Source organism: Homo sapiens, chromosome 3 (assembly GCF_000001405.40).
Source record: "Homo sapiens chromosome 3, GRCh38.p14 Primary Assembly".
Taxonomy (NCBI): Eukaryota; Metazoa; Chordata; class Mammalia; order Primates; family Hominidae; genus Homo; species Homo sapiens.
This window is the reverse complement of record NC_000003.12, coordinates 123,460,583-123,483,728: the sequence shown is the minus strand read 5'-3', so window position 1 is coordinate 123,483,728 and position 23,146 is coordinate 123,460,583. Positions and strand designations below refer to the sequence as shown.

Below are 23,146 nucleotides of genomic sequence, written 5' to 3'. Positions count from 1 at the left end.
CAGGAAGCTCATAAACAGATGATTAAATCAGGTAGTTTAACGGACTGTGAAGAAACCTAGAAAGGCAATGTGTTAGAAAGTGTGGTCAGATGAAGTCTCTCTGAGGAGTGATTCAGGATTTGAACCAGATCTCACTGACCCCAAAGCCCACAACTGTTTCCCTCCACCAGGGTCAAGCCTCATTTGTGGCAGAATATCATGTGAGTTGCCCACCAAGGCAGCCTCTCAAAGGTTGCAGAAGCTCCTTAGAGACTGGAGGCCTCTCTGAGCCCTTGGGGCTCCTGACAAGCACGGTGAATGTGATAAGACGTCGAGGTGCTGGGAGGACCCCACCTCCTGGAGCCCAGGCTGCAGCACCATTCCATGGCTGCTGTAGTCAGAGCACTGGGCATCTGAGCTCCAAACTTTCCTGACTTTCCTGGGACCCAGCATCACCCTCGGGTCCCGGTCATTAGCAGAGCTGCTGGCAGCTCGGAGTCTGCTCACAAGATTCTCACAGGCCTCCAGGTCCTTATCTGCAGCATCCTGGGACCAAGCCCCCTCCCCAGGGCTGGGCTGGGTGGGCCATGCCAGGGGCACCTCTGCCCACAGCCTAAAGCCTACATTGCCTATGTTTCTTTGGGTCATTGCTGCCTCTTCTTCCCAGCATTAGGGCAGCTCATCAAGCCCCAGCTTTCCCTGAAAGCCCTCCTGGGCCCGGCAGCACACACTGACATTGCCTGCCCACAGCTGGGGCTGCTTTACCTCATGCCCAAAGTAAGCCGAGGAGCAGCCCCACCCGCTCCACGGAAGACTGCCCCTACCCGCTACAGCACCACAAGCCCCCAGCGCACATCGTACCTGAGGGAACTATGCCATCTCAGGCGTGGAAGGGGCCTCAGAATGGCGTTGTCACCTCCAGTCTCCACTTGTACAGAGTTGGAAACTGATGCCAAGAGGGATAGGGGCCACTTGGCTGGGCACGGTGGCTCACGCCTGTAATCCCAGCACTTTGGGAGGTCGAGGTGGGTGGATCACAAGGTTAGGAGATCAAGACCATCCTGGCTAACATGGTGAAACCCCATCTCTACTAAAAATACAAAAATTAGCCGGGCATGGTGGCAGATGCATGTAGTCCCAGCTACTTGGGAGGCTGAGGCAGAAGAATGGCTTGAACCCGGGAGGCAGAGCTTGCAGTGAGCTGAGATTGCGCCACTGTACTCCAGCCTGGGCAACAGAGGGATAGGAGCCGCTCCTCATCCCCCCACCCCACCCTACAGCCTGCAGGATGGTGTGCAGGGCATTTCAGGGTAAGCCAAGTAGGTAACTTCCTACTCCTCCAGGGACCTGAGCTTGCTGCCAAGGCAGGCAGAGTCAGGGCTGCCCACATTGTGATCTCAGGTGGGGATTTTCCGGGAGATTGTGGATTTAGGGGGGACCCTCCCAGGCCCTGAGAAGGATGTCGTGAATACTGCCGCGAATAAGCTTGGAGGACACAACCAGGGGGCCGCTGTTTCAGGCAGCCCGGGGAGGACCGAGGGCAACAGAAAGAGGGAGGTCCACCAGGAGTTTCCAGTAACCCCTCTGGAAGCTTGTGGTTGCACAGCTTAATCTGGGTCTGTGAGGGTTTTCCCAAGTTTCCTACATGTATTTACCCAAGAACTGATATCTGTGGGCACCTTCCAGAAGGCCCAGTTCCTGCCTCAGCCACTCTCCCCTAGTCAGAGCAGCATCCTGAGGCGCAGCCTACAGATACGGAGTCCAAGGGCTTGCCCAGCCTCCTGTCAGGAATGTCAATCCCAAGCCAGGTGGCTGTTTGGCTTGCCTGGTATATTTAGAAAAGTCAGGCTCCCTGCTCCCTTACAAAGTGTGAACTGCACCTATCACATGGAAATGTGATTCACTTCTCAGCAGCCCAGCTGAGCGGCTTCCACCGCCCCCAAGCATCCCTCCTCCCTGCCTCCCTCAGCCCTCTCTGCACGGGTATCCTCATATCCTCCAGTGGAGCTGAAGGCCCTGCCCCACTGTGACAGGGAAGGGCTGGTGGAAGGCACCTCAGTGGTCAAAGGCAAATGTCCCTTTTGCATTTTCTGGTAGCAATGCATTGGTCTTACTCTGTTTCCTTCTCTCTGGAAATCTGGATGCTTTCTTCCTCAGAGTCCTCAATTCTCACCGCCCTGACACACACACACTCTGCTCCTCCTGGGGTCTTGAGAAGCCCTGGATTGACTTGCAATCTGACCATGAGCCCCTCATGTAAACAAGTGGCATAAAGCAGAGGTTGTATCCTGGCAGCCAGTAGGCTTTTCGTTTTTGTTTTTGTTTTTCTTAAAATGATATTTTAAATTGTTTTGGTTACCAGCGTTTTAAAATTATGAGAGTTCACATTTTAAAAAATGAATTTCCTGCTTCTCTTGAAAGAAGATGTGGCACTCCGGCAAGCCTGGGCCTGGTTCCTGCACGCCTCGGCACACCCGCGGGGACTGAGTGGAGGCTGTCCCCTTTCTACAAGTGGGTTCTCCAGGTCACCTCACCAGGCCTGTGCATTCATTTGAGTTCCCTGCCTGGGCCTTGGAGATTTCTGGATTTAGAACTCCACATACCTGGGACCTTCCATTCCAGCAGAGATAGAGCAGAGACACCCCTAGTACCATAGGGCCTCATTTCTCCTTTTCCTCCCTCGGTTTCTCACTCTTCACTCTTCAGTCTTCTGAGTTATCTCCCTTCTTCTCGCACCCCTCTTGAGTACCCTGTATCATTGACTTATGTGGTTCTATTTTTGCCCAATACCAATCTCCCAGCCCTTCCTTGCCTGGTTCCTTGGAGACAGAGCCTTGTGATGCTTTGGAGTTGGGCGTGAGTTCGATTCCTGCTCCACTTTTTGTCTTCACCACTTTCCTGAGCCTCTTTCACGTAAAAAATAGAGAGAAAATGATACCTCGTTTGCAAGGTTGCCCCGTTCCCTAGCTCATGAAGTGGTCAAAGACAGCTGAGTTTGTTTCAGTGGAGAGCAGAGACTGTGGCCTCCTCTCCTGGCCCTGCAGAAACCTCAGCCACTTCCCCATTCTGTGGTCCCAGGACATAGCACGTGTGCACAGGCTACCCCCAGTGGGGCCCAGAGGTGCCAATGCCTCTGACACTTGAGGACAGGAACTCCCCTAAGTGACAAGCCTCATCGGGCTGCTAGACACTAGTCAGGCCCAGGCTGGGCTCCACCCAGGAGTCACCCAGGATCTCAGGACATGCTTCCCCCTCCTTCCCCAAAATCCCCAAAGCCAGGTGTCTGCCCCTGCCCAGGACCACAGGGAATACTGCTGATACTGCTCAGCATGTACTGTGCCAAGCACTGTTTATATTTTTCATATGCGTTAACTCCTGAAATTATCCCAATAATTCTACAATTTCAACACTGTTAGACTCCCATTTTACAGAGGAAGAAACAGGAATCGTTGAGGAAAGGTTAAATAACTGGCGCAAAATCACCCAGCAGGTGAGTGGTAGAGCCTGGCTATAAAGGGAGGCTGTGGAGTTCCAGAACTTACACCTTTCATGACTGTGCTAATTATACCGCTTTTACTGTAGCTCCCAGACCACGGTGCCCCGTGCTGAGCATTCAGCCCCTCTCTCGCCATCTTGAATCACTTCAGCTGCCGCAGCCCAGCCTGGCCCCCAAGCTGGTTACCCATGAGCACCGCGTCATGGCAGAGCCCAAACAACACCCGCAATAGGCAAATACCTGGAGATAGAACTCTCGTTTTGAAGTCAATCTTTTGATCACACAGAGAAAGTAAGTGCTCAACAATGAAATCCTCTTCCCTTTGTTGTCACAAACATAAAGCAACCCATTCAAGTGCCCACAAAATGATAAAATCCCCGCATCTCTATTCCTCATTTTTGCCGTCTTGCTCAGTGCTAGCCTTGAGGGCCTGATACAGCTCCTTCTGCACCTGCAGGCTGGGTCCCTTTCCCTTGGGACTGGCGGGCTCCTTCAGCCCCTCCTAGGGACACTGACACCAACCTGACGCTCACAAAAAGAATTCTCAGAACCTGACACAATGGAGCCGTGTTGTTTTCTTGCTTAGACCCTGGCAGAAATGTAATAGCTACCCTGGGAGGGGAAGGCATGCCAGGCAGGGACCAGTAGATGGAGAATCTAAGCAAAGAAGGGAGGAAATCCGCTTGCATTCTGCCCTGACAGGAGTCCAGTCCTCCTCAGCCCTACAAAGGCCCTGAGCTGGGCAGCTGGCCCTCCGTGGGGGTAATTCCCACTGAGAGGTTGGTGGAGCTGCTCAGCACACTCACGGGCTTCTAGACCTGCACCTGCGTGTCCCTGTGGTCCATTAGTTCCCAAGCCCAGGCGCTCAGGGGCCCAGGAAACATGATATGATTCTTTTCCACAGGCTTCCAAACCTTGCCCGCCCTCATCCTCAGGTTCTCCAGGTCCTGGCTGCTGCTCTCACCTCCCATGAGAGCACCAAGTCTCCTTCCTGCTACCGCAAGACTTGACCTCCCTAGAAAAAAACAGCCAGTCCCCAGCCGTCTCTTGAGAATCAGGACAAAGAAGCGAAAACACAAAAACATGGTGGAGACGCAGAAACGTGCCCTTTGCCCAAGTCCCGCCCCCTGGCCTGCCCCAGCACTGTCCACCTGAAAGCCCTGCCTGCCCCAGCACTGTCCACCTGAAAGCCCTGCCTGCCCCAGCACTGTCCACCTGAAAGCCCTGCCTGCCCCAGCACTGTCCACCTGAAAGCCCTGCCTGCCCCAGCACTGTCCACCTGAAAGCCCTGCCTGCCCCAGCACTGTCCACCTGAAAGCCCTGCCTGCCCCAGCACTGTCCACCTGAAAGCCCTGCCTGCCCCAGCACTGTCCACCTGAAAGCCCTGCCTGCCCCAGCACTGTCCACCTGAAAGCCCTGCCTGCCCCAGCACTGTCCACCTGAAAGCCCTGCCTGCCCCAGCACTGTCCACCTGAAAGCCCTGCCTGCCCCAGCACTGTCCACCTGAAAGCCCTGCCTGCCCCAGCACTGTCCACCTGAAAGCCCTGCCTGCCCCAGCACTGTCCACCTGAAAGCTCTGCCTGCTCCAGCACCGTCCATCTGAATAGTCCAGTGGCACTGGAGGTGTGGACCAGCCTGCAAGGGAGTCTCTATTCTTCCCGACAGGACAGGCAGCCAAGCTTGCTGCTGGCCTAAAGCCCTGAGACTCCTCCCCAAAGCAGGAGCCCAGCCTTTTCCTGTCTCTCCACTTAGGGGGCTCCCTTAGCCCTAGGACTGCCCCTACTGAGTGACTCTTGAAGTCAAACTGTTGCTGGTGGCCCAGGCACACACTAGTGGGAACAGCCTGCTGTTCAGGGAAAGGATCATCAGCTCATAGGGTTCTTGTTTGTAGTGCATTAAAGCAAGTCTGGGACCTGGTTCACTGGGTCATTGATTTTTACCCTGGGGAAAGGGGGTAGCCTTACCCTTCGTTGATATGGAACTGAAAGACCTCTGTTGTGGGGAGGGAGAAAAAGAGATGGTGATCATTCACAGTGATTCAAGACAATGATTCTCCAGAGGAGAGCTTGTTCTACGGCTTCTGAAACTAAGCTACAGGCAGGGCCATGCTACCCCTGAAGGCTTTAGGGGGAACCCTTGCTTGCCACTTCCAGCCTCTGGAGACTCCAGGTTTCCTTTGCTTCCAGCAGCTTCACTCCAGTGTCTGCCCCTCCCTTCACATGGCATTCACCCCTGTGTCTCTGTGCCTTAAATCCCCCCTCTCCTTTCTTCTCTCTCATGGGAACGCCAGTCATTGCATTTAGGGCCTACCCTAAATCAAAATTATCTCATCAAGAAATGAGTATGTAATCTCATGATAAGATCTTAATATCTGAAAATGAGATCTCCATCCTTAATTATATTTGCAGGCCTTATTTCCAAATAAAGTCACAGTCACAGGGACCAGGGGTCAGGACCTAGACACATCTTTTTGGTGGGAACAAAACTCAACTCACTACACCCTGTTTCCTCCTCTAAAAATGAAGACAATAACATCTGCCTTACCGCGTGATTTCAAAGGTTACATAGGTCAGCACACATACGGTTCTTAGAACAGCACCTGGTGCCTCATAAGTGCTCAATAAATGTGAGCTATTATTACAATTCCTCTGCCACCTGCCAAACTCCTCCTCACCCTTCAAGATGCAACTCAATGAAACTTGCTCTGAGCTGTCTCCCAACCCCTTTCTTCTCACCCAAGTGAAAGCGCTGCCTGCACATCTGCTTCCGCGGCCTTTGTAGACGCCCCTCTAGCATGGGCGTCGGGATGAGCTGTATAGAGGCTGTTTCCTCTCCCAGCCTATTGGCTCCTTTCGATCAAGAACTGGATCTTATTCATCTCTCTCTCTCTCTCTCTCTTTTAAAATAACCCTTTTTGAGTCCTACAAAAATATCTTGGTCACGAGCAATAATATGTACGTGTATAGAGACATCACAGAGCAAGAATATTTCATCATCATACACCCAAATGTTTCACAGTTTTCTCCTGATAATCTAACTGGTATCCTTCACCTTTGTCCCTCCAGCACCTGCTGCAAAGCCTGGCACATCGGGGAGGAGCACACAGAGTGCTTGATCATTGGAGGAGGAAGGCAGCCTGAGGTCAGAGCAGACACAAAGGGGCAGCTGAATGGAGCCAAAGGACACCCCCACGGTGGGGGGATGTGGGCAGTTTCTGAGGTTGATGAGAGGATGAAAGGAATGGCCTGGGGCATAGGGGCAACTGAGGCACGACAGATGAGTGTCAGCATTGAGTGTGCTTGAATGCTCCCTGGCATCAGGTAAACTCTCAGCCCTGATCCATGGCCAGTCTAGGGGCACTAAGAAGACAAAAAGAGGAAGGCTGTGACCATGGCCTGGCTGTGTGAAAGGCAAATCAGCTACCTTTGTTTTTATCGGCTGTTTATTATTTATGACTAATTACCATGCAGCAAAAAGCGGCTACATATATAATTACACGGCAGATTGATTTTGTTATTAGCTTCTTTTAATTATGCTGCTGATCTCTGTTTCCTAAATCTTCACTACCCAAAAAACAAACACAAAAACAAAACAGCCAAAAATAGAAGTCCTACTGCCCGCCTCTGCTTTCACAGCTGGGCAAGGTAGGTGGGATCCTGGTTCAGTCTCCACAATGGGATCAGTTCCTCAGCCAGAGCCGCTACTGTGGCTGTTGTTAAGAACTATGTTGGGCTGGGCATTGTGGCTCACGTCTGTAATCCTAACACTTTGGGAGGCTGAGGCGGGCGGATCACCTAAGGTCAGGAGTTTGAGACCAGCCTGGCCAACATGGTGAAACCCTGTCTCTACTAAAAATACAAAAAATTAGCCGGGCATGGTGGTGCATACCCATAATCCCAGCTACCTGGGAGGCTAAGGCAGGAGAATCGCTGGAACCCGGGAGGCGGAGGCTGCAGTGAACCGACATCACGCCACTGCACTCCAGCCTGGGTGACAGAGCAAGACTCCATCTCAAAAAAAAAAAAAAAAAAAAAAAAAAAAAAGGAACTATGTTGTACTGAGCACTTGCCGTGCTGGCTGTCTCACAGCACAGCAACCCTGCTAATATCCAATGAACATGCCCGCTCTGTAGAGGCGCCTCTAAAAGCCTCGGATGGAGTCATTCCCTTGGCTGGGGAAGGGGTCCTGGGCTCCAAAGGTGGGAGAAGCTCCAAAGTTCAAAGCCCCTCCAAGTGTCCAAGTTCACTCCCATGGGGTCCATCCTGCCCCCACTCGGGCCAGCGGCTTGCTCATCTGTGAAACCCACTTGTTTTTCACCCCTGCCTTCCTTACCCTCTCTGGTTCTTTGTATCCTGTCCCTGGTCCCTGCAGTGACAACCATGTGAAAATGGACTCCTCGGGTTCCAGCCAAAATAAGAAGACAGGAGGAGGCAGGGAGCCACAGAGAAAAGCCAGGCAGGTCTGCAGCAGGTTTAGAGGAGGTGGAGGGAGCTAATCCAGATAGTGAGACAACCAAGGGAGTGAACTCATTGATCTGGAACTTGTAAACGAGCTAAACCCACAAGGCATGGTCAGCATGTGTGTGCATCAGAGAAGCCATCTCTGGGGCGCCCCGATAACTTCCTTCATTGGAGAGGGCTCCTCACTCGCTGCAGGGATCCTTCCCTCTCTCCCTGGTTAATTCTCACCTGTCTTTCCGGTTTTCTCTCAAACATCACCTCTCCGGGAAGCCTATCCCAGGAGCCCTCTGTGTCCGACTCCCCTGGAAATGTTCTGTTGCTCTATGTTTTTCCCTCTGAGTCCTGGCACAGGCATCCCTAAGTGACTGTGGCTAGTAGTTCCGGTTCTGCCTCATTTCCTCTCAGAAGGGAAGCTCCGAGAAGGCAGCGATTCTTGACTTGTTCAGCGCTGTCTCCCGAGCACGCGCATCGCGTTAGGCACGTAGTAGGCACTCAGCAAACATTTGTCAAGGGCACAACTCGAGTTGGAAATATGGGAGGAGTAAGTCCAGGTGGAAGGAAAGAAATGTGAAAAGTAGACTTTGCCTTGTGGCTTGCAAGGCCTTTCCCCTTTTAGGAATTGCTCGGCCCACTTAGGAATTTCACAGGAGCATGGAATCCTCCAGCCACGGGCAATTTCCTCACTGCGTCCAGACTCTTCTGCTGTTCTCCTCAAAGAGCCCTGCAAACGAAAACTCCTCAGCTTTCCTTCCACGTTGCTTGTGACAGAGACTTATGCTGTTTGCTGTTAGGAAGTTCTTTTCTGAGTTTGACTTTATACTTTGCATCCCATTTTCAATCCCTTTTCCCTCTTTTGAACGCAGACTCACAGTATCAGAACTTCACGGGAGCTTACAGATGATCTAAGAAACTTTCGAGCCTTTGTTTCCTAAGCAGGAAAATCCCTTTTCCCAGTTAGAGAATCTCATCTCTAAAATGTGAGGCTGATGAAAGGGAAACAGTTCTGATGGATGTAACAGGTTGGGAGCCCTTTCAGGGCACCCCCAGGAGCTTCAAGGAACCCAGTGTGAAAACCACTGATCAGGTCCAAGCCTGATACTTAGTGGATGAGAAAATTCAAGAAGGGAAGTGATCTGTCCCAGCCAGATTACAACTCACCTTTGCCATCCTTAAGTTCACAGCCCACATCCACCTCAGTGAAAATGATAAAGTTTGGGGTGCTCTGCAGATGAACTTTTTGAATAAGTATGTTCCAGTGTCATTTGGGGGCTACGTGTTTTTGTTTTCCCTTTTGTGATATTTCATACTTCAATATGCCAAAAAAACTCAACAAGAAGTTGGCAAAAGAAGTTATACAAGCATGTTTCACAAATATCCAAATCTTTGAATAAAGATGGTCATCACAATTTCCCAAACATTTCCACATAGGGCTGCAGAGTAAGGCCCATCTTTTTTGTGTTATTTACTCATTTATTTCTTTTGGAGCACATTTGAAGCACAAACCATGCCATTGCAAGAAAGATCCAACTGGAACGAGAACTGGCGGGGACTCGTTTGTGCTGAGACTCATTAAGTTTCCCAGCCCCAGGGATTGGGGATTTTCATGGAATCAATTTCCTTCTTGGGACTGTTAACATAATCCCTTCACTGGAGAGTCGAGGGTCCTGCCAGCAGCCAGCACAGTGGGTCTGCTGTGGGCCTCTGAAGGAGAACATTCCCAAGGACCAAGAGGAAGGGCCAAGCCTCTTAGATGTCCCTCGATTCACAAGCTCTTCATGCCACACCCTCACCCTGCCCTCCACCTTCAGCCAGCTCCCAGACTCCAGGGCAGGGAAATGGGATGTCTCCGATGAGCAGGATCCATAGCAGTGCCCTGTAACAGCTATTACAGATCACTCATCTGCCACGTGCCGCCCTTCAAACATCAGTCAATGGGTTGGGTGCAGTGGCTCACGTCTGTAATCCCAGCACTTTGGGAGGCTGAGGTGGGAGGATTGCTTGAGGCTGGGATTTAGAGGCCAGCCTGGGTAACAAAGCAGGACAACATCTCTAAAAATAAAAATTAAAAAATTAAAAAAAAATCTGTTGACGTATCATGTTGTGGATGCCATTTTTTAATTAATTAATTAATTTATTTATTTTTTGAGATGGTGTCTCGCTGTGTCACCCAGGCTGAATGCAGTGGCGTGATCTCAGTTCACTGCAACCTCCAGCCTCCAGATTCAAGCAATTCTCCTGCCTCAGCCTTCTGAGTAGCTGGGATTACAGATGCCTGCCACCATGCCTGGCTAATTTTTGTATTTATTTATTTTTTTTAGTAGAGATGGGTTTTCACCATGTTGGCCAGGCTGGTCTCAAACTCCTGACCTCAGGTGATCCACTTACCTCAGCCTCCCAAACTGCTGGGATTACAGGTGTGAGTCACTGCACCTGGCCCATTTATTAAGCCTCTAGTATTTGCCAGGCACTGGGCCAGTCCATCTAATCCTGACAGCAAGGAATGACAACATTGGTATCTCCATTTTGCAAAGGTGAACACTGATTGTCAGAGGAGCTTGAGCCAAGTATTATTTCACTTAATGTTTGCATACATTAGGTTGGGCAAGGTGGCTCACGCCTGTAATCCCAGCACTTTGGGAGGCCAAGCCAGGCAGATCACGAGGTCAGAAGATCGAGACCATCCTGGCCAACATGATGAAACCCCATCTCTACTAAAAATACAAAAATTGGCCGGGCATGGTGGCACATGCCTGTAATCCCAGCTACTCGGGAGGCTGAGGAAGGAGAATCGCTTGAACCAGAGAGTCGGAGGTTGTGGTGAGCCGAGATTGCGCCACTGCACTCCAGCCTGGTGACAGAGCAAGACACTCCACCTCAAAAAAAAAAAAAAAAAAAAGTTTGCATACGTCATTTCATCTAATACTAATAATGGCTGTTATTGCTCGAAGACCTTCTTCTTCATGATTGTATACTTGTTTACTCCTCACAATAACCCTATGAAATTAGGTATTATTATCATTTTCATCTTTCATATGAGAAAACTGCGGCCCAGAATGGTTAAGAATCTACTGGGGTTAGGCATCCCTCAGCTTTCTTATCAGTTCAGGGTAGTCTCAATTCAGTCCAAGCAGCATTGACTATGTTTCTTCTGTGCAGGGGAAGCAGTATAGGGGAGTGGTTAAGAGCACGGATGCGGCCGGGCACAGTGGCTCACGCCTGTAATCCCAGTACTTTGGGAGGCCAAGCCGGGTGGATCATTTGAGGTCAGGAGTTCGAGACCAGCCTGGCCAACATGGTGAAATGCTGTCTCTACTACAAACACAAAAAATTAGCTGGGCGTGGTGGTGCACACCTGTAGTCCCAGCTACTCCAGAGGTTGAGGCAGGAGAATCACTTTTATCCAGGAGGCACAGGTTGCAGTGAGCTAAGGTCACTCCAGCCCAGGCAACAAGAGCAAAACTCCATCTCAAAAAAAAAAAATAATAATCATGGACTCTAGTTTGGAGTTCTCAAAGAACTTAAAATAGAACCACCATTCGACCCATCAGCCCTACTACTGGGTATACACCCAAGGGAAAAAAGTTCATTCTATCAAAAAGACACATTCCCCTGTATGCTCACTGTAGCGCCATTCATAATAGCAAAGGCATGGAATCAAGCTAAGTGCTCATCAACTGTAAATTGACAATGACAATGTGGTACATATGCACCATGGAATACCATGCAGCCATAAAAATGAATGAAATCATGTCCTTTGCAGCAACATAGATAGAGCTGGAAGCCATTATCCTAAATGACCTAATGCAAGAATAGAAAACCAATACTGCATGTTCTCACTTATAAGTGAGAACTACACATCGAATACACATGAAAAAGATGGAAGCAATAGCATTGGGGATCACTAGAGAGGGGAGGGAGGAGGCGGATGTGGGCTGAAGAACCACCTGTTGGGTACTATGCTTACTGCCTGGGTGATGAGATCGTTGAGATCCCAAGCCTCAGCATCATGCAGTTTACCCAAGTGACGAAACTGCACGTGTACCCTTTAATCTATAATAAAAGTTGCAATTTTTTAAAAAAATCATGGATGCTGAGGTCAGACATAACTGGCTTCAAATTCCAGCAGGATCAGAGACAGGCCTTGTGAGGACAGACAAGTGTGTTAGCTGTCTACTACTATGTAACAAATTACCCCAGCGTTTGCCTGCTTAAAGCAACCACTTACCATCTCCCAGTTTCTGTGGGTCAGGCAGGGACCTGAGAGCAGCTTAGCTGGGTGGTTCTGGCTCAGGGTCTCTCATGAGGTAACAGTCAAGATGCAGGCCAAGGCTGCAGCCACCTTAAGGCTCAACTAAGAGAGGAACGGGGTCCAAGCTCACTCGTGAGGGTATCGCCATGAGACTGCCTAGCAACACGGCAGAGGGCTTCTCCTGAAGCAAGTGACCCAAGAGAGTGGGAAAGCACCCAGGATGGAGGCCACAGTCTTTGAGTAACAATCTCAGGAGCAGCATCCCACTACCTCTGCCCTGTTCTGCTCAGTAGGAGAGAGTCCACCCTGGACTGGAGGGGGACTATATGAGAGCATGAATACAAGGCGGTGGGATGCCAGGGCCCTCTCAGAGGCTGCCTTCCACAGGTCCCTTAAACTTCTAAGTCTCAGTTCCCTTGTCTGCAAAATGAGACTCAATAGGACCTGCCTCAAAGAGTTGTTTTAAGACCTCAATGAGACAATGTCTATAAAGAAATAAGAGCTGGGCGCAGTGGCTCACACCAGTTATCTTAGCACTTTGGGAGGCTAGGCAGGAGGAGTGCTTGAGCCCAGGAATTCAAGACCAGCCTGGAAAACATAGAGGCCCTATCTCTACAAAAGATTTTCCAAGATTAGCCAGGCATGGTGGCACATGCCTGTGGTCCTAGCTTCTTGGGAGGCTAAGGTGGAAGGATTGCTTGAGCCTGGGAGGTTGAGGCTGCAGTGAGCCATGATTGCACCACTGCACTCCAGCCTGGGTGACAGAGTAAGACCCTGTCTAAAAAAAAAAAAAAAGAAAAAGAAAAGAAAAGAAAAGAAAAGAAATTAGAACAGTGCTCAGCAAATAGTGAGTGTTCAATAAATGTTAGTTGTGGGCCTGGTGCAGTAGCTCACACCTGTAATCCCAGCATTTTGAGAGGCCAAGGAAGGCAGATCACTTGAGGTCAGGGTTCAAGACCAGCCTGGCAAACATGGTAAAACCCCCTCTCTACTAAAAATTAGCCCAGGCATGGTGGCAGGTGCCTGTAATCTCAGCAAACTGGGAGGCTGAGGCAGGAGAATCACTTAAACCTGGGAGGCCAAGGTTGCAGTGAGCTGAGATTGTGCCATTGCACTCCAGCCTGGGTGACAGAGTCAGGCTCTGTCTCAAAATAAATAAATAAATAATTTAATTACTTAATGTCAGTTGCTATCATCACCAATGCTATAAGCTACTTGAGGGCAGGGAGAGTGTGTCTTTCTTGATCTCATCTGTCCATACCTGGCACTTCTTTTCATTCTGCTGATGCCAGGCACTGCCAGTGTCAGGTTGAGGGTAGGGGAGAATGAGGCAGTGCCTGCCTTCAGGGAGCACACCAGACACACACATGCACCTGCACAATATTCCCAAAGCTTGGGGAAGGGTCCTCCCCAAGGACATCAGGAGTGTCCTCTATGAGCCATCTGGGGTACAAGGGCTTAGACTAACCAGAGGCTCTGAACCTACTCTCCCCAGAGATGGTGCAGCAGTGCAGGTAACCTCAAGGGGCTAGTCCTGGGTACAAGCCCTCCCTCCCTGCCCCTGTGGGCCCTGGCTTGGCAGATCCCTCAAGCACCGCCCATACTTCTCTCAGGAGAGACTGGCACAAGGGGAAGAACAAGTTCCAGAATCCTAGACCACCCCCGTGTGGCCGGCAGTGACTGCATGGCTCCCTGAGGCTTGTCATCAAGGAACAACATGTTGCCCTCTGGGGTGCTTGGCGATGGTGGCAGCTGCTCAGCATTACCAACCTGGATCTCGGGGACAGCAGCAGAGGGGAGGAGACAGGGAACTGCCACATCCTTGGCAAAGGACCACTTACCCAGGCTGCAGACGAGGAAAAGAGACCGAGCACAGTGGAGAAGCAGTGAGCTGCACTGCAGGGGTATGTGATTGGGAGGGCTGTGGGAAGGCCACCTCACCCACAAAATGGGGCAAGCATCCTGCCACCTTGCCCCGAGGTCATGAGAATCAGCAGAGCCTGGCACACAGCAGGTGCTCCATAAATGGAACCATCGTGATCATCAGCCTGGTGTAAGTGGGAGGGTGCTCAGAGAAAGGAAGATTGACGCTAAGTAGTTGTTTGGTTTGTGTCAGTTTTATTGAAGTATCTATACATATTTAAAAGTACTTATGTCATAAGTGTAGAGCAAGACAAAACTTCACAGAGTGAACACACGTGTGTCACCAGCATCCAGATCAAGAAACAGAACATGATCCACACCCAAGAAGCCCCCTTTGTTTTCCCTTCCAGTTCCCATCCACCTACAAGGGGGGCCACTGTGCTAACTGCTAAGGCCCTGCTCTTGAGGTTTATAAATGGAAACAAATGGTGTGCCTTCTTCGTGCCCGTCCTTACTGGCTCAGCATCACGTCTGTGATGTTCTTGCGTGCTACTGCTCGGTGGTGTTTGTTGGCTCCCATTGCTGTGTAGAGTTCCACTGTGTGACTATACCCCAATATATTGATTCATCCTGCCGCTGAGGGACATCTGGGTTGTTTACAGTTTTTGGTTCTTAAAAACAGCAGTGCCACTGGGCACAGTGTCCCATGCTTGTAATTCCAGCACTTTGGGAGGCCAAGGTGGGAGGATCAATTGAGGACAGGAGTTCAAGACCATCCTGGGCAACGTAGTGAGACCCTGTCTCTACAAAAAAAATTAAAAATTTGCCATGCATGGTGGAATGTACTTCTAGTCCTAGCTACTCGAGAGGCTGAGGCATGAGGATTACTTAAGACCAGAAGTTTGAGACCAGCCTGGGAAACATAGCAACACCCCGTCTCTACAAAGAATAATTAGCTGGGCACAGTGGTGTGTGCCTGTGATCCCAGCTACTTGGGAGGCTGAGGCAGGGGATTGCTTGAGCCCAGGAGGTCAAGGTTGCAGTGAGCCATGATTGTGCCACTGCACTCCAGGATGGGCAACAGAACAAGACACTGTCTTAATAAATAGATAAATAAATAAGCAGTGGTGCCATGAACATTCTCATACATGTTTTTCTGATGGGTTCAGGATGGAATTACTGGGTCAGAGGTCACCCACACTCATTGCTCTAGTAGGCACTGTGGCACCCCAAAGCGTTACTAATAATATACACATGCTGCTCTACATCCTTGTGCACACTCGGCATTATCACTCCTTTTCATTTTAGTCATTCTAGAAGGTATGGAGTGATGACTTTAGTTGTGACTTAATCATGATTTGGATTTGCATTGCCCTGATGACAGTGAAGAGGAGCACCTTTCCCTATGTGCTGGACATTCTGGTATGAATACAGGTAGTTTAATTTCTGTCCTTGATGGGGCTTCTCTTAGGATTGATACCTCCCACTCTCAGATTTTGCATTTCACAAATGAATATAATATGGCAGATCAGCCACAATGTTGCCAAGGAAAACAAATTATCACCAGTGGCGGATCTTGCAGATTAGTTCACACAACTCCATTGCACCCCTGCAGCAGGCCTTACAGCTCCAGGTCCACACATGACCCCAGCCCCCTGCCAGGCAGGTGCACTGGCATGAGATTTGCAAGGCAGCAGTGTGGCCAAGCCTGTGCTTTTGCTGCTTCCACTGTTTCTCCTGGAAAGCTTGGAGGTGAGATGGTTGATTTTCCTGGGGCAGACATGGCAAAGAGCCCAGGCCCCATCTCTAGTTTTGTGGATGTCAAGAGGCAGATTCTGCAGCATCCATTTTGGTGATGCAGTCCTGAACTTGGCAGATGGGGGCAGTGGCTTCCTGACCCCCGAGATTCCTGACACTGGCATCAATGGTGCGGCTCTTGACAGACCAGTCCTACCATGCTGGGAGGCATTCCTAGAAGCCTGGCCTCAGTCTGCACCTCCAGCCCCTCCAATAATGTTGTAAAGTCTTAAATCCCCGTGTTAAATTCTGTTCTGCTTAAAATAGTTAGAGTGATTGCTGTACCTGCAATTAAACTCCGACTGATACATCATGACACGCTGATACCACTGTGTCAGGACAGAAAAGATATTTTAAGACGAAAAAGTCAGAAGATAATCATTAAAAAAAAAAAAAAAAGACAGTCTCTTAAATTTTATGAAATCAGTCCCATGAAAAGCTCATTTTCCTCTTCTCATTTTGTTAGTGGAAATTTCAACATTAGTGTTGGTTCTAAAGGAAAAAGTGAGTTTAGAGGAGGAATTAAAAGGGAATATTTATTTAAAGAGTAGCCCCTGAAATGGGACATAAGGAAGTTGAGAAGGATTGGGCTGCTATTTAGTAACTATTTAACCACAGTGCCAGGAGTAACGTGACCCTTACAGTGCCAGGAGTAATGTGACCCGTGACTCTCGTACCAATAGTATCTGGAACTCATTTTAAATGCCACGAATACTGTTATTTCTATGGGTTCTTTTGCCCTGACCTTGTTGGGGGTCAACAGGAGCTTTTGACCTTGTTGGGGGTCAACAAGAGCTTTCAACGAGGAGAAGTCCTGGGCAAGAGCCACTGTGCAGTCCCAGAAAAATGATTTGAGTGGTCATTAGTAACACTGGAGTTGTGATTTGATATTTTAAATGGTATTACAGGATTCAGGGAAAATGACTCCTGAGAAGAGAGAGAGGAGCTGGGGTCAGAGAGAGAGGAGCTGGGGTCAGGGACCATTCAGGAGGACCCAGAGAGGCAGCCAAGTTTTGCCTGGGGAGTCTGCTCGGTACTTGGGGGTCTGGCTGCCATGCCTGCTCTGCTCCGCTGTGGCTGCCTGGGGATACGGACGTCTCTGCACCAAGCCCAGCTGGAGAAGGAAGGCCATGGGCTCTGGTGGCAGTGGGGGTTGTGGGGGCTGGAGGATGGCTCTTGATGCTGTCAGCTGAGCCTGGCTGGTAGGGACAAGGAGAGGGACTGATGATGCCATGATGGACTCTAGAGGTGGGAAACACCTGAGTCGTCTAGTCTAAGTGATGTTTTCTCACTCTTTTGTTTTCCCTCTTAACAGTTTATAATGGAGATTTTCAAATATATACAAAAGTAGGGAGAATAATACAGTTGACCCCCATAGACCCATCACCCAATGATAACACTCATCAACTCATCAACCCAGTCACTTTTAATTAATTAATTTATTTATTTACTTTTGAGACAGAGTCTGGCTCAGTTGCCCAGGCCGGAATGCAGTGGTATGATCTCGACTCACTGCAACCTCCATCACCCTGGTTCAAGCGATTCTCCTGCCTCAGCCTCCCAGGTAGCTAGGATTACAGGCGCCCACCACCACGCCTGGCTAATTTTTGTATTTTTAGTAGATATGGGGTTTCACCATGTTGTCTAGGCTGGTTTCAAACTCCTGACCTCAAGCAATCCACCCATCTTAGCCTCCCAAACTGCTGGGATTACAGGCATGAGCCACCATGCCCAGCCGAACCGTCATTTTAAAACTCTTTCTAGCTTCTAGTCCTCTGTTCAAACGGAACCTTATGTATGTGTAGCTGAATTAGATTATGAAGTAGTAACTTAAATTTTACTCCCTATCCCTTTCTCCCATTCAAACAGACATTAGGGGAATAGCCTGTAATACCTGGGAGAACTTAGAGGGTTTGCAAGAGAGGTAAAGACGGGGAAGGAATCTGTATTAGTTTGCTAGGGTTGTAACAACAAAATACCACAGACTGGGTGGCTTAAATCATAGAAATGGATGGCCTCACAGCTTGGGGGGCTAGAAATCCTAGCTCCAAGTGTCACGAGGGTTGTCTGCTTCTGAAGGCTGTGAGGGCAGATCTGCCCCAGGCTTCTCCTTTGGATTGTAGATGGCTGTCTACTCCCCGCATCTCTTCACATCATCTTTTCTCTATGCATGCCTGTGACCAAATTTCCTCTTCTTATAAGGACACCAGTCACATTGGATTAGGCCCAATCCTAATGACCTCATTTTAACTTATCTCTGTAAAGAATCTATCTCCAAAGAAGGTCTGTTCTGAGGTACTGGGGGTTAGGATTTCAACAAACGAAATTTGGGGATGGGGGAGACACAATTTATCCCATAATGGGGACTCTGGCAAAGACTAAATGAACGTCTTGAAGAAACACAAAGGGAGAGTTCCCCCAGGCTAGGAAGGGCTTTCCCAGGTTGGGGAGTGGGGCTGTGGGATGAGGAGAGAAAAGCAGGGGGACACTGGTGAGCTCCCAAAAGGCACCCATGTCTCAGGAGTGACACAGAATCAGCAGAGACAGCTGGGCCCACAGGGGCCACTGGGCAGAGATGTGGCTTGTTAGTGGGCACCCTTGTCCGAGAACCCTAAGAATATCTGAATGGGCGTGATGGCTCACACCTGTAATCCCAGCACTTTGGGAGGCCGAGGTGGGCGGGTCACTTGAGGTCAGAAGCTCGAGACCAGCCTGCCCAACATGGTGAAACCCCATCTCTACTAAAAATACAAAAATTAGCTGGGTGTGGTGGCTCATGCCTGTAATTCCAGTACTTTGGGAGGCCAAGGCGGTTGGATCACTTGAGCCCAGGAGTTCGAGACCAAGCCTGGCCAACATGGCAAAACCCCATCTCTACTAAAAATACAAAAATTAGCTGGATGTGGTGACATACCCTGTAATTCCAGCTACTCGGGAGGCTGAGGCATGAGAATCACTTGAACCTGGGAGGCAGAGTTTGCAGTAAGCAGAGATCACATCATTGCACTCCAGCCTGGGCGACAGCACAAGACTCTGTCTCGAAAACAAAAAAAAAAGAATATTTGGGGTAAACACTTCATTTAGCTTCTGGGATGGGTTCTGGGAGTCGGAAATTAATTTAGAGATTTAGAAAGTGAAGGAATTGATTTTTTTGCACCCCTGAGGTTGTCAACTGAGAATGAAACCTGCCAAACATAAAGCAGGTAAAAGCTGGTCTGTTCTGGGTGCAGCTCTCCCCTAACCCGGTTCCCTCTGGCCCTTGCAGCATCCCAAAGCAAATCCCAGGAGTCCTGGGCTTCAAGGAACACAGTTTGAAAACTCTTAGTGTCCACCCCTTCCCACTTATTAACACACACGGACACCTGTGGCTCTGAGGAGGAAAAGACTTGCTCTTGGTAGGCACGAGCTGGTAAGCAGCAGGGCCAGCCTAGAACTCAAGACTCCTGATTTCCACCAGGACACGATCCTGGTGGCTTCCTCAAAGATTTCCCAGGGAGGCTGATCCTCTGTCTTTGATCCACGTCCAGGTCTTCCGTGGGAGGTGTCTCATTTACATCAGACGGCTGGTTCGCTGAATCATCCTGGAGTGAGCCTGGAATCACTTCTTGCAACCTTGTCAGATTTTTATTATTGTTGTTGTTTTGCTTCATCCATTTTAACAGATGTGTATCATCCCATGTTCTTTTCACATGTCCCCATCAATCTTTGAGCACATCTTTGCTTTCTAGCCCAATGAGGTATTCCAGGTTCACCTTGTCCTTTCCCTACCCCATACCTGGAATATGCCATTCATCAAAGGCTCCAAGTTGAGTTTTAGTAGCAGTTTGATAAGAAGGTGACTTGGGAAGTTATGATGTGTTGGAGAGACGCACCATTAAATGGTACTTCTGTAACGGAGATAGCATCATTCTACAGTCAGATCATTCCTCACATACTGAGGTAATTCCCTTATGCAGAAATGGCTAAGAACTTCCTCCTTGAACTTGTCTCCGGCATCTTTTAATACATTATTTTCTGTTTTAACTAGGTAGAGTGGATTCTGCTTTCCGTGACTAACCCTCCCCAATAGAGTGTTTGACACCAGGATGGTGGCAAGCAACAGACTCTTAACGAAATGAGCATCTGAGATTGGCTCTCTCACCTAGTTGGATTGGAAGGCAACAATGATCCTCTATTTACATTGGGAGATAGCACCTGGTAGTCCATATCACTCATAGTGGCAATACAGATCTCACCTGTGGTCACCTAGAATGAAGGGGAAGGCTTCAGAGGACAGAGTGGCTGCTGAGCTAGCCACTGTGGTGAGATAAGAAACAGAAAGCCTGGGGAGTTGGACTGGCTGCTTAAACTACACAGAGTGTTTAAAGAAAGAAATGACACGATCAGGATTTTTTCTTCTTTTTTAAAAAATAGCTTCATTGAGACACAACTGACATACAATAAAATGCACACATTCAAGGTGAACAGTTTGATAACTTTTGACATTATACAAACATACACATGCCCCTATGAAATCATCACCACAATGAGGATAATGAATATCCATTACCCCCCAAATTCCATGTGTCCCTTTGCAATCAAGCCCTTCTGCTCTTCCTTGCTCCCTGCCATCCCCAGGGAACCACCAATCTGCTTTTATCCCTACAGAATTCGTTTGCATTTTTTAGAATTTTTAATAAATAGAATAATACAGTATGTACTCCTTTTGTGTCTGGCTTTTTCTACTCAGGATAGTTATAACTGAGAGCCATTCATGTTGTTATTTATCAGTAGTTCATCCCTTCTTATTGCTGAGTATTATTCCATTACATGAATATACCACAACTTGTTTTTCTGTTCACTTGTTGACAGATATCTGGGTTATTTCTAGTTACAAATAAAGCTGCTATAAACATTAGCATATAGGTCTTTTTGTGGACATATGTTCATATGCTTTCATTTTTCTTGGCTAGGAGTAAAATAATGGATTCTATGGTATGAGTATGCTTTGCTTTTTAAGAAACTGTCAAACTCTTCTCCAAGTGATTGTACCATTTTGCATTCTCACCAGCAGTGTATGAGAGTTCCAGTTGCTTCATATTCTGTCCAACACTTGGTATGGCCACTCTTTAAGTTTAGCCATTCTAATAGGTGTGTAGTGGTATCTCATTGTGATTTCAATTTGCTTTCCCCTAATGACTAATGATGTTAGTATCCTTTCATGTCCTTATATGTTATCCATATATCCTCACCCATTTTGAATGAAGTGGTTATTCAAATCTTTTGCCTATTTTTTATTGGGTTGTTTTCTTGTTACTGACTTTAGAGCATTTTCTAGAGATTTTGCATATAAATTTTTTTTTTTTTTTTTAAGACGAGGTCTTGCTCTGTTGCCCAGGCTGCCAGGCTGGAGTGCAGTGGCACGATCTTGGCTCACTGAAGCCTCTGCCTCACGGGTTCAATCAATTCTCCCACCTCAGCTGGGATTACTGGGGCATGCCACCACGCCTGGTTAATTTTTGCATTTTTAGTAGAGACAGGATTTCACCATGTTGGCTAGGCTGGTCTCGAACTCCTGACCTCAGGAGATCCATCCGCCTCAACCTCCCAAAGTACTGGGATTACAGGCATGAGCCACCGATCCCAGCCAAATCTTTTATTAGATATGTTATCTGTTCATAATTTCTCAGCCTGTGCCTTATCTTTTCATTCATTTAATAATTTCTTTTGAAGAGCAGTTCTTAATAAAGTTTATCAAAAATTTGAATAATTTGAAAAATAATAAATTGCTTTTGGTGTTGTATCAAATAAATTGTTGCCTAACTCCAGGTTACAAGGATTTTCCTCCTGCACGCTCCTCTAGAAATTTTATGGTTTTACATTTTACACTTACAATAAATAAATTAAATTTTTTTTTTTTTTTTGCAGGACAGGGTTTACTCTGTCACATAGGCTGGAGTGTAGTGGCACAATCATAGCTCACTGCAGCTCGACCTCCCAGGCTCTTCCCACCTTAGCCTCTTGAGCAGCTGAGACTACAGGTGTGCACCACTGTGCCTAGCTAATTTTTAAAATTTTTCGTAGAGATGGGGATCTTGCTACATTGCCTGGGCTGGTCTTGAACTCCTGGCCTCAAGTGATCCTCCTGCCTCGGCCTCCCAAAGCACTGGGATTACAGGTATGAACCACCAAGCCCGGCCAATTTTAAGTTTTTTTTTTTTTTTTTGAGACGCAGTCTCGCTCTGTTGCCCAGGCTGGAGTGCAGTGGTGCAATCTCAGCTCACTGCAAATTCTGCCTCCCGGGTTCACAGCATTCTCCTGCCTCAGCCTCCCGAGTAGCTGGGACTACAGGCTCCTGCCACCATGCCTGGCTAATTTTTTTGTATTTTTAGTACAAAATATTTGTACTAAAAATTTCACCGTGTTAGCCAGGAGGATCTCGATCTCCTGACCTCATAATCTGCCCGCCTCGGCCTCCCAAAGTGCTGGGATTACAAGCGTGAGCCACTGCACCCGGACTCTTCTTCTGAGATGAAGTTTTGCTCTGTCGCCCAGGCTGGAGTGCAGTGGTGAGATCTTGGCTCACTGCAACTTCTGCCTCCTGGGTTCAAGCGATTCGCCTGCCTCAGCCTCCCGAGTAGCTGGAATTACAGGCATGTGCCACCATGCCTGGCTAATTTTTGTATTTTTAGTAGAGAGGGGGTTTTACTATGTTGGCCAGGCTGTTCTCGAATTCCTGACCTCAGGTGATCTGTGTGCCTCGGCCTCCCAAAATGCTGGGATTACAGGTGTAAGCCACTGTGCCTGGCCCAATTTTAAGTTAATTTTTTATGTGTATGGTGTGAAGCAAGGATCGGCAAATTTTTCTTAAAGGGCCAGATAGTAAAGATTTTAGTCTTTGTGGGCCGTCTGATCTCTGAGCAAAAGCAGACTGAGCCAATAAATACACGAGTGTGACAGTGATTCAATAAAACTTTATTTACAAAAATAGGTAGTGGGCTGTATTTGGCCCACTGGTCAGAGTTTGCTCACCTTTAAATCTCCAAACTCCACTAAGCTTCCCTAGGCAACAGAAGCAGTCCCACCCATCCCTATCTGTTGAGTCTGGTCCTGCCTTGCTTAAAGATACTTAATGCAAATGACTTTGCAGGAGAATGCCCATTTTTCTCATGCCCCAAACCCTACTCTTCCTTATTACTTTCAGACCTATAAGCAGAGACATATTCTCATGTGCCCTAAAGGACCAAGTTCACAACCTGACTCAGACAAGCTGTGTACATACCAGAATCTCAGGTTCTCAGGTGGACCAAGTGAACTGTAATG

At 48.5% G+C, this 23,146-nt stretch overlaps 1 annotated feature.

Annotated features, from left to right (window-relative positions):
• Positions 3,113 to 3,212: a silencer, noted in NCBI's record as "silent region_14647". NCBI's record gives its function as "represses an Ori minimal core promoter by ATAC-STARR-seq in GM12878 lymphoblastoid cells {active_cell/tissue: GM12878}" and the evidence as "EXISTENCE:reporter gene assay evidence [ECO:0000049][PMID:35858748]".